This window comes from Homo sapiens, chromosome 8 (assembly GCF_000001405.40).
Source record: "Homo sapiens chromosome 8, GRCh38.p14 Primary Assembly".
In the NCBI taxonomy this organism is placed as follows: Eukaryota; Metazoa; Chordata; class Mammalia; order Primates; family Hominidae; genus Homo; species Homo sapiens.
Genome location: NC_000008.11, coordinates 68452000 through 68464040, shown reverse-complemented (window position 1 = coordinate 68464040; position 12041 = coordinate 68452000). Strand labels below are relative to the sequence as shown.

Here is a 12041-nt window from a genome sequence, read left to right as displayed (position 1 = left end):
TTTTCTAGATATACAATCATGTCATCTGCAAATGGGGACAATTTGACTTCCTCTTTTCCTAATTGAATACCCTTTATTTCCTTCTCCTGCCTAATTGCCCTGGCCAGAACTTCCAACACTATGTTGAATAGGAGTAGTGAAAGAGGGCATCCCTGTCTTGTGCCAGTTTTCAAAGGGAATGCTTCCAGTTTTTGCCCATTCAGTATGATATCAGCTGTGGGTTTGTCATAAATAGCTCTTATTATTTTGAGATACGTCCCATCAATACCTAATTTGTTGAGAGCTTTTAGCATGAAGCGTTGTTGAATTTTTTCAAAGGCCTTTTCTGCATCTATTGAGATAATCATGTGGTTTTTGTCTTTGATTCTGTTTATATGCTGGATTACATTTATTGATTTGTGTATATTGAACCAGCCTTGCATCCCAGGGATGAAGCCCAGTTGATCATGGTGGATAAGCTTTTTGATATGCTGCTGGATTCAGTTTGCCAGTATTTTATTGAGGATTTTTGCATCAATGTTCATCAAGGATATTGGTCTAAAATTCTCTTTTTTGGTTTTGTCTCTGCCCGGCTTTGGTATCAGGATGATGCTGGCCTCATAAAATGAGTTAGGGAGGATTCCCTCTTTTTCTGTTGATTGGAATAGTTTCAGAAGGAATGGTACCAGTTCCTCCTTGTACCTCTGGTAGAATTCGGCTGTGAATCCATCTGGTCCTGGACTCTTTTTGGTTGGTAAGCTATTGATTATTGCCACAATTTCAGAGCCTGTTATTGGTCTATTCAGAGATTCAACTTCTTCCTGGTTTAGTCTTGGGAGGGTGTATGTGTCAAGGAATTTATCCATTTCTTCTAGATTTTCTAGTTTATTTGCGCAGAGGTGTTTGTAGCATTCTCTCATGGTAGTTTGCATTTCTGTGGGATCAGTGGTGATATCCCCTTTATCATTTTTTATTGTGTCTATTTGATTCTTCTCTCTTTTTTTCTTTATTAGTCTTGCTAGCGGTCTATCAATTTTGTTGATCCTTCAAAAAACCAGCTCCTGGATTCATTAATTTTTTGAAGGGTTTTCTGTGTCTCTATTTCCTTCAGTTCTGCTCTGATTTTAGTTATTTCTTGTCTTCTGTTAGCTTTTGAATGTGTTTGCTCTTGCTTTTCTAGTTCTTTTAATTGTGATGTTAGGGTGTCAATTTTGGATCTTTCCTGCTTTCTTTTGTGGGCATTTAGTGTTATACATTTCCCTCTACACACTGCTTTGAATGTGTCCCAGAGATTCTGGTATGTTGTGTCTTTGTTCTTGTTGGTTTCAAAGAACAGCTTTATTTCTGCCTTCATTTTGTTATGTACCCAGTAGTCATTCAGGAGCAGGTTGTTCAGTTTCCATGTAGTTGAGTGGTTTTGAGTGAGTTTCTTAATCCTGAGTTCTAGTTTGATTGCACTGTGGTCTGAGAGACAGTGTGTTATAATTTCTGTTCTTTTACATTTGCTGAGGAGAGCTTTACTTCCAACTATGTGGTCAATTTTGGAATAGGTGTGGTGTGGTGCTGAAAAAAATGTATATTCTGTTGATTTGGGGTGGAGAGTTCTGTAGATGTCTATTAGGTCCGCTTGGTGCAGAGCTGAGTTCAATTCCTGGGTATCCTTGTTAACTTTCTGTCTCATTGATGTGTCTAATGTTGACAGTGGGGTATTAGATTCTCCCATTATTATTGTGTGGGAGTCTAAGTCCCTTTGTAGGTCATTCAGGACTTGCTTTATGAATCTGGGTGTTCCTGTATTGGGTGCATATATATTTAGGATAGTTAGCTCTTCTTGTTGAATTGATCCCTTTACCATTATGTAATGGCCTTCTTTGTCTCTTTTGATCTTTGTTGGTTTAAAGTCTGTTTTATCAGAGACCAGGATTGCAACCCCTGCCTTTTTTTGTTTTCCATTTGCTTGGTAGATCTTCCTCCATCCTTTTATTTTGAGCCTATGTGTGTCTCTGCACGTGAGATGGGTTTCCTGAATACAGCACACTGATGGGTCTTGACTCTTTATCCAATTTGCTAGTCTGTGTCTTTTAATTGGAGCATTTAGTCCACTTACATTTAAAGGTAATATTGTTATGTGTGAATTTGATCCTGTCATTATGATGTTAGCTGTTATTTTGCTCGTTAGTTGATGCAGTTTCTTCCTAGCCTTGATGGTCTTTACAATTTGGCATGATTTTGCAGTGGCTGGTACTGGTTGTTCCTTTCCATGTTTAGTGCTTCCTTCAGGAGCTCTTGTAGGGCAGGCCTGGTGGTGACAAAATCTTTCAGCATTTGCTTGTCTGTAAAGGATTTTATTTCTCCTTCACTTACGAAGCTTAGTTTGGCTGGATAGGAAATTCTGGGTTGAAAATTCTTTTCTTTAACAATGTTGAATATTGGCCCCCACTCTCTTCTGGCTTGTAGAGTTTCTGCCGAGAGATCCGCTCTTAGTCTGATGGGCTCCCCTTTGAGGGTAACCCGACCTTTCTCTCTGGCTGCCCTTAACATTTTTTCCTTCATTTCAACTTTGGTGAATCTGACAATTATATGTCTTGGAGTTGCTCTTCTCGAGGAATATCTTTGTGGCGTTCTCAGTATTTCCTGAATCTGAATGTTGGCCTGCCTTGCTAGATTGGGGAAGTTCTCCTGGATAATATCCTGCAGAGTGTTTTCCAACCTGGTTCCATTCTCCCTGTCACTTTCAGGTACACCAATCAGATGTAGATTTGGTCTTTTCACATAGTCCCATATTTCCTGGAGGCTTTGTTCATTTCTTTTTATTCGTTTTTCTCTAAATTTCCCTTCTCACTTCATTTCATTCATTTCGTCTTCCATCACTGATACGCTTTCTTCCAGTTGATCGCATTGGCTCCTGAGGCTTCTGCATTCTTCACGTAGTTCTCCAGCCTTGGCTTTCAGCTCCATCAGCTCCTTTAAGCACTTCTCTGTATTGGTTATTCTAGTTATACATTCGTCTAAATTTTTTCAAAGTTTTTAAGTTCTTTGCCTTTGGTTTGAATTTCTTCCTGTAGCTCGGAGTAGTTTGATCATCTGAAGCCTTCTTCTCACAACTCGTCATGTCATTCTCTGTCCAGCTTTGTTCCGTTGCTGGTGAGGAACTGCGTTCCTTTGGAGGAGGAGAGGCACTCTGCTTTTTAGAGTTTCCAGTTTTTCTGCTCTGTTTTTTCCCCATCTTTGTGGTTTTATCTACTTTTGGTCTTTGATGATGGTGATGTACAGATGGGTTTTTGGTGTGGATGTCCTTTCTGTTTGTTAGTTTTCCTTCTAACAGACAGGACCCTCAGCTGCAGGTCTTTTGGAGTTTGCTAGAGGTCCACTCCAGACCCTGTTTGCCTGGGTATCAGCAGTCGTGGCTGTAGAACAGCGGATTTTCATGAACTGCAAATGCTGCTGTCTGATCGTTCCTCTGGAAGTTTTGTCTCAGAGGGGTACCTGGCCATGTGAGGTGTCAGTCTGCCGCTACTGGGGGGTGCCTCCCAGTTAGGCTGCTCAGGGGTCAGGGGTCAGGGACCCACTTGAGGAGGCAGTCTGCCCATTCTCTGATCTCCAGCTGCGTGCTGGGAGAACCACTGCTCTCTTCAAAGCTGTCAGACAGGGATATTTAAGTCTGCAGAGGTTACTGCTGTCTTTTTGTTTGTCTGTGCCCTGCCCCCAGAGGTGGAGCCTACAGAGGCAGGCAGGCCTCCTTGAGCTGTGGTGGGCTCCAAGCAGTTCGAGCTTCCTGGCTGTTTTGTTTACCTAAGCAAGCCTGGGCAATGGCGGGCGCCCCTCCCCCAGCCTCGCTGCTGCCTTGCAGTTTGATCTCAGACTGCTGTGCTAGCAATCAGCGAGACTCCGTGGGTGTAGGACCCTCCGAGCCAGGTGCAGGATATAATCTCCTGGTACTCCGTTTTTTAAGCTTGTCGGAAAAGCACAGTATTAGGGTGGGAGTGACCCGATTTTCCAGGTGCCGTCTGTCACCCCTTTCTTTGACTAGGAAAGGGAACTCCCTGACCCCTTGTGTTTCCCGAGTGAGGCAATGCCTTGTCCTGCTTCGGCTCGCGCATAGTGCACTGCACCCACTGTCCTGCGCCCACTGTCTGATACTCCCTAGTGAGGTGAACCCGGTACCTCTGATGGAAATGCAGAAATCACCTGTCTTCTGCGTCACTCACACTGGGAGCTGTAGACCGGAGCTGTTCCTATTTGGCCATCTTGGCTCTCACCCTGCACCAAGTTTTTATTATCCATTTATCTGCTGATGGACACTTAGGTTGATTCCACATCTTTTCTATTGTGAATAGTGCTGCAATAGACATGTGAATGCAGGTATCTTTTGGATATATTGTTTGTTTTTCTTTGGGTAGATACCCAGTAGTGGGATTGCTGGATTCAATAGTGGTTCTATTTTAAGTTTTTTGAGAAATCTCCGTACTGTTCTCCATAGTTGCTGTACTAGTTTACCTTCCTACTAACAGTGTATAAGAGTTCCCTTTTCAGCCGGGCACGGTGGCTCACGCCTGTAATCCCAACACTTTGGGAGGCCAAGGAGGGTGGATCACGAGGTCAGGAGCTCGAGACCAGCCTGGCCAACATGGAGAAACCCCATCTCTACTAAAAAAAATACAAAAATTAGCTGGACGTGGTGGCACGCACCTGTAGTCCCAGCTACTCGGGAGGCTGAGGCAGGAGAATCACTTGAACCTGGGAGACGGAGGTTGCAGTGAACTGAGACCATGCCACTGCACTCCAGCCTGGGTGACAGAGTGAGACTCCATCTCAGAAAAAAAAGAAAAAAAGAAAATGAAAGAGTTCCCTGAGTTCCCTTTTCTCTGCATCCTTGCTAACATCTATTATTTTTCTTTTTAATGATAGCCAGACAATGCATTTAAAAATAATAAAAACACATTGCTTAAGAATAGGTACAGTTTAAGGTCACTTTTATACAGCAAACCAACCCATCCATATCATATCTGCTAATGTGTACAAAGGAAAGAATATACAAAGACACAAACTATTTCTAGGGGAGTAGAATTTGATGGGAGACAAGTGAAGGAGACTATTTCTCTTTCTACAGGTCTGTATATTTTACATTGTCAAAATAAATAAATATTACTTCTGTGATTTAAATAAATCTAGAAATTAAAAATAAAAAAATGAACGCAGCTGCCTCATCTGAGCTTCTTGGTTTAAGGGAACCTGGGACAGGGATATCAGCTAAAATTACTAACATGCCAGTGTGCTAGCAGCAGAGAGTAGACACAGTAACCGTGATCAATCCAGAAAACACTTCGAGGCCCATGACCGCTACCTCACAGACCATTCCCCAGGGGAAGCCTATGGAGGAACCTAGGTTTAAGAGAGAGAAGTTCAGATGAGGGAGTGGAAAAAACAATATTTGTATCAGATTCTTCAAAACTTTGGCACTTTTGTTAACCCTCTTTGAATAATTTCTTTAATCTGCAATCTGTATCACTACATTATCTGATTTTCTGCTAATCACTATATGTTATCAAGGTCTCTCTTCATATTTTCTTTTTAATTTACAAAATAAGAACTCAGGTTTTTTGGTTTTTTTTAAATTCTAGTCAATATCCCTGGATATCTACCAGACACAGCCTAGGTTCCCATCATCCCAGCTGAGCCCAGCATCTGCAGACCTACCCACTGAATGCACCACATGGGCACGTCAGGTGAGGCCAGCAGGAGAACTGGCCAGTCTACATACAGAATCATGAGAAACCACAAATTGTTGCTGTTTTCAGCCACTGAGTTTTGGGAAAATTATATGCTGCACAATAGAGAACTAATTAATACCATACCCAAGAACATTTCCTTGGCGACTTTTGAGAGGAACTGAGACCAATTTCTTTTGATGTTTTTGTAGCTTGTGACAATTTGATACATGTAATAAATCTTGCCTAACTTATCATGGGAATCAAACGAGGACAATCAAAGCCATGGTATAATCAGGATCTAATCACCCATGCTGGGTGATTTCAAAAGCTGTTTTTATAAGTAATGGAAATAAATTTGGGAAGTCATTTGTCTGGTATGCCGTCTTTGGATGAGAACATCTCTAAAATTTTCTGATAGATTGAAAACATTATTTAAGTCATACTACACTAAAAAGTAAAGGGTTAACATTTAAAAATGTTTTAAAAAATATCCACAGGGAAAATGAAAAATAGAAGAACAGTGTCAACTACCTAATAAAACCTATAGAAGAAGATGACAGAATCTGAGATTAGGAAGAGTCTTTGGGGTCACTGACGCAGAGCTCACTCTAGTGCAGGTGCAAGGTACCCACAGCACCTTGCAAATAGCTTTTCCTCAGTCTTCGCTGAGGACACTATGTTACAAAGCAGCCTATTGTATATTAAGGAGTGCTAATTTTTGAGCAATTCTTTATTATAGTCATCAAATTCTAATTCAATATGACCTCCACCAATCGTTTTTATGAGTTTAAAATAAATTTACTGTTTCCTCCACATAACATTTGAGATACTGCCTATATATTTCCTTTGAACCAAAATAACTTTCAACCCTGTTTTCTAAAATTTAATAAATGCTAATGTTCTTATCTGAAAGTTCTCCCCAAGTACTCTACTTTCGTTTTAAATATGCCAGGAAATATCCCCAGTACTACAGTTATAATATACTGAAAACTGATTATAATGAGATAATTACTTCATGTCTTCTGCCTTCTGTATTTCCATATCATGATTTTTCAGCTATTGTACTTCTGTCTTCATTTTTTTATATTTATGTAGTTTATACTTTCTATACATATATGTACATATATACTCTCAATGACAGTCTATAAATATGCAGCTATTTATCTTTATATATTCTGTGCTAAATGCATCATTTAAAAAAATACCCTGAGAAAGCCTCCCTTAAATGCAGGAGCATAAACAAAACAACTGAGAGTTGATATCAATTTTTGGTTTTAACCTAAACCAACATATTTACCTCAATTTTCTCATCTGGATTATAAATTTGAAATGGTTATAAAGGATCAGCATTCACTATCATGCACAGAATATTGATAGACAATGTCTTTCTTGTCATTTCTGCCAAAATTCTGCTCATGATCTGCAACCATTCCATACAATAGGTAACCAGTGGAAATAGTTAATATTACAAGGCAAAACCTTCATCAAATCATGCTTATCTTATCTATGACACATAACTATTGAAGACTGATACTATAACGCTACCTTGCAGATCTTTGTCCCTATGCCAGCTTGCATTGTATAAGTGCTATTTTTTGGTTATTTGAAAATGCCAAAACATTACAAGGCAAAACCTTCATCAAAACCTACTTATCTTATCTATGACACATAACTATTGAAGATTGATAATATAATGTTACCTTGCAGATCTTTGTCCCTATGCCAGTTTGAATTGTATAAGTGCTATTTTTTGGTTTGTATGAGTGCATTTGAAAATGCACAATTTCTAAATTAATATTACATAAGGGCTAGAATACATTTTAGTAAAAATCCATCTTTACATTATCCTCATTTATTCATTTATTCATTCAACCTTTTATGCACTCATTCACATAGCATAAATTATGTGTTTGTCACTGTTCTATATAAATGGGGATTAAGGTAACAAAACACTCTGCACTGAAGATATTACATTCTACCAAGCTCACAATCTTTTGAATGGGCTAAGAAGTTGCTTTTTTCTTCAGAAAGTTCTTCTGATTAATATATAGTAGCTATTTTAAGTAAATTTTAGACAGAAAATTTTTTTTTTTTTCAGACAGAGTGTCGCTCTGTCACCCAGGCTGGAGTGCAGTGGTGCGGTCTCAGCTCACTGCAAGTTCTGCCTCCTGGGTTCAAGTGATTCTCCTGCCTCAGCCTCCCGAGTAGGTGGGACTACAGGCACCCACCACCACGCCCTGCTAATTTTTTTTTTTTTTTTTGGATTTTTAGTAGAGGCTGTGTTTCACTGTGTTAGCCAGGATGGTCTCAATCTCCTGACCTCGTGATCCACCTGCCTCCACCTCCCAAAGTGCTGGAATTACAGGCGTGAGCCACCACGCCCGGCTAGACAGAAATTTTTTTTTAATGAATTGATAACTGTTTTTTTCTACCCACAGAAGTTAATTACTATTAAAATATTTATGTCTTTTTCCTTTTTTCTTTAAAACATATGAACAATACTCAGAAATTTTTTTGGTTTTATTCTATAAATATTTATTCCAGGCAATATTTTAGTTAAGAAAATATCCTTCTATTCCTAAAGAGTTTTAACCTCATTATATTTACAATAAGAAATAGATGTAAATTTGTATCGAATAGCATTCAGTTATTGATTGAGTCAATAGTTTTTTTACTTGATCTACATGTATAATGTGCTGACATATAATGGTAATACTAAAAGAACAGAAGAGAAAGAATAATAAAGGAATAATGATCAAAAGATATTCCATGCAAATATTAATGAAAAGAGAGCTGGGTGGCTGCCCTAATATCAAACAAAATAGATTTTAGGACAAAAATCATTATAGGAGGCAAAGAAGGGCATTATATAGTGATAAAAAGGATAATCTATCAAGAAGATATAATAATTATAAACATATAAACACCTAGCTGCAGAGCCTTAAAATATAGGAAGGAAATATTGACATAATTTAAGGAGTTAGAGGGCACTATAATAAGAATAGTGGACTTTAAAATCCCCACTTTCGATAACGGAGCAAATAGAAGGAAGACCAATAAAGACATGAAGGACTTGAACAACACTGTAAACCAGTAAGACCTAACAGATGTACACAGAACATTCCACTTAACAAGAATACACATTCTTCTCAAGTGTGCATGGAACATTCTCTAGGAGAGATCTTATGTTAGGCAACAAAATAATCTCAAAAATTTTAAAGGATTGAAATCATACCAAGTATCTTCTCTGACAACAAAAGAATAAAACTAGAAGTCAAAGGAAAAAGAAAAATGGGAAATTCACAAATATGGGAAAATTAAACAATATTCTCATTTATAATGAATGAGACAAAGAAGAAATCACAAGATAAATTAGAAAATACTTTGTGACAAAAAAAAATATGAAAACAACATACCGAACCTTAAGGTATGCAGTGGAAGCAGTGCTCAGATAGAAATTTATAGCAGTAAATGTCCCCATTAATAAAGAAGAAAGATGTCAAATCAATAATCTAACTTTACACCTTAAGGAAGTAGAAAAAGAAGAGCGTAATAAACCCAAGCTACCAAAAGGATGAAAATAGTAAAGGTTAAAGCAGAGATCAATGAAACAGAATATAGAAAAACAATAGAGAAAATCAGCAAAACCAAAAGTTGGTTCTTTAGAAAGATGAAAAAGTTAAGAAAACTTTAGCTAGATTGATTGAAAAAGAAAACTCAAATTATTAAAATTAGAAACAAAAGTGAGACATTACTACAAACTTTAAGAAAATTAAAAAGTATTGTAAGAGAATACTATAAACAATTGTATGCCAACAAACTGGATGACTTAGAAAATTTCTAGAAACATGCAAACTACCAATACTGACTCAAGAGGAAATAGAATATCAGAATAGACTTATAACAAGTAAAGATTTTGACTCGGTAATAAAGAAATCTCCCAACAAGGACAAGGCCAGGATAAAGCGGCTTCCCTGGTAAATTCAACCCAGCATTTAAAGAAGAATTAACACCAAGTTTTATCTATTCTTCCAAAAAAATCTGAAGAACAGGGAACACATTCTGATTTATTCTAAGAGGCCAGCATTGGCCCAGTACCACAGATAAAGACATTACCAGAAAAGAAGATTACAGACCAATATCTTTTATGAATGTAGATGTAAAATCCTCAATAAAAGACTAACAAACTAAATCCAGCAGCATATTAAAAGGATTATACATCACGACCAAGTATTTATCCTAGGAATTCAAGGGTTACTTAAGAAAATTATAAAATGTAACACATCATATTAACGGAATGATAAGAAAAACTGCATGATTATCTCAATTGATCGAGAAAAAGCACTGGAAAAAAATGCGACACACTTCCATCATAAAAATATCCAACAAACTAGGAATAGAAGAGAACTTTCTCAACATGATAAAAGGCATTTTGGAAAAACTCACAGCTAACACCACACCCCATGATACAAGACCAAAAGTATTTCCCTTAAGATGAATAATGAGAAAAGGATACCTTCCTGCTTTCATCACTTCTGTTCAACCTTGTATTGGAATTTCTAGCTGGGGCAATTAGGCAAGAAAAGAAAAATAAAAGGCAACCAAATTGGAAAGGAAGAAGTTAAACTATCTCTATATTCAGATGGCATAATCTGATCTTTTGAGAGTCCTAAAGAATTCACAATAAAGTGTTAGAACTAATAAACTAGTTCAGCAAAATTTTGGGAAATAAAATCAAAATACAAAAATCAGTTTTATTTCTACACCCTGGCAATGACAATCTAAAAATGAAAATAAGAAACAATTCCATTTACGATAGCATCTGAAGGAATAAGATCCTCTGGAATAAATTTAACCAAGGACATGCCAGTCTTGTACACCAAAAACTACAAAACATTGTTTAACAAAATTAAAGGGGATCTAAATAAATGAAGACATTACATGCTCATGAATTGGAAACCTTGTTATGTTCCCAGTACTCTCCAAAGTGATCCACAGATTCAACGCATTTCCTAAGAAAATCCAAATGGCCTTTATGCAGAAATATTTTAAACAACTGACTCTAAAATTCATATAGAACTTCAGGGCACTCAGAGTAGCCTAAACAATCCTGAGAGAGAAAAAGAGAAAAATAAAGTCAGAGGACTCATACTTCCCAATTTCAAAACTTATCACAAAACTACAGTTATCAAAACAGTGTGTGTGGTACTCACAAAAGGATAAACATATAGCTTAATGGAATGGAATTGAGAGTCTAAAAATAAACCCTCGTATTCATGGTTAATCGATTTTCAATGGGGTGACAAGATTATTCAATGAGGAAAGAATAGTATTTTCAAAAAATTGGTACTGAGACAACTGATTATCCACATGGCAAAAAATGGAGTTGGACACCCATCATCTGCTATATGCAAAAATTAACTCAAAATGGAACAACTACCCACATGTAAGAGCATAAACTATAACTCTTAGAAGAAATTATAGAGATAAGTCATTATGACCTTGGATTTGGCAAGAGTTTCTTAGATATGACACCAAAAACACAAGCCAAAAAAAAAAGGAAAATAGATCAATTGAGCTTCATCAAAATTAAAAACTGATGTACATAAAATGACACTGTTAATGAAGTAAAAACATAATCCCCCCAAGTGGAAAAAATATTCATAAATCATATCTCTGATAAGGATCTAGTAGCCAGAATACAAAAAACTCTCATAACTCAAGAATAAAGAGTAACAACCCCCTTAAAAATGAGCTAAGTGTATGAATAGTCATTTTTCCAGAGAAGATATTCAAATGGCCAAGAAACACTTGAAAAGATGCTCAAAACTATTAACCTTTAGGGAAATGCAAATCAAGACAACAATGAGATACCACTTAACATCCAACTGGATGGCTGTAAATTTTTTTAAAAAAGGAAAGGAAAGAAAGGAAAATAACAAGATTTGGTAAATACATGAAGAATTGAAACCCTTGTATATTGCTAGTAAGCATGTGAAATGGTGCAGCTTCTTTGAAAAAAAGTTGGCAGCTCCTCGAAGTTACACATAGAATTATCATATAACCCAGCAAATCAAGTACACAGTAATATAAATTATTATATTATTTATATTATATAATATCAATTATTATCCAAATAATGAAAAAGGTAATAAAAATGCTTGTATATGAACACTCATAGCAATATGATTCAAGATAGCTAAAAGATAGAAGCAAACAAAATACCCATCAGCAGATGAATGGATAAACAAAATGTGGTTTAACCACACAATGGAATATTATTCAGCCACGAAAAGGACTGAAGTAGTGTGCATACCACCACAATGTAGATAAACCACAAAAACATGCTAA

The 12041-nt window shown here is 37.0% G+C and overlaps 1 protein-coding gene across 13 annotated transcripts in view, besides 1 other annotated feature; it reads right to left on the bottom strand.

The window, feature by feature from the left end:
- The window catches only part of C8orf34 (chromosome 8 open reading frame 34), a 488651-nt gene that overhangs the window by 354983 nt on the left and 121627 nt on the right, over nucleotides 1–12041 (bottom strand). The gene's annotated exons all lie outside the window — the stretch shown is intronic.
- Nucleotides 3218–3717: an enhancer, noted in NCBI's record as "H3K4me1 hESC enhancer chr8:69372559-69373058 (GRCh37/hg19 assembly coordinates)". NCBI's record gives its function as "activates a minimal SCP1, AML or CMV promoter by ChIP-STARR-seq in naive H9 embryonic stem cells {active_cell/tissue: H9 hESC(naive)}" and the evidence as "EXISTENCE:reporter gene assay evidence [ECO:0000049][PMID:30033119]".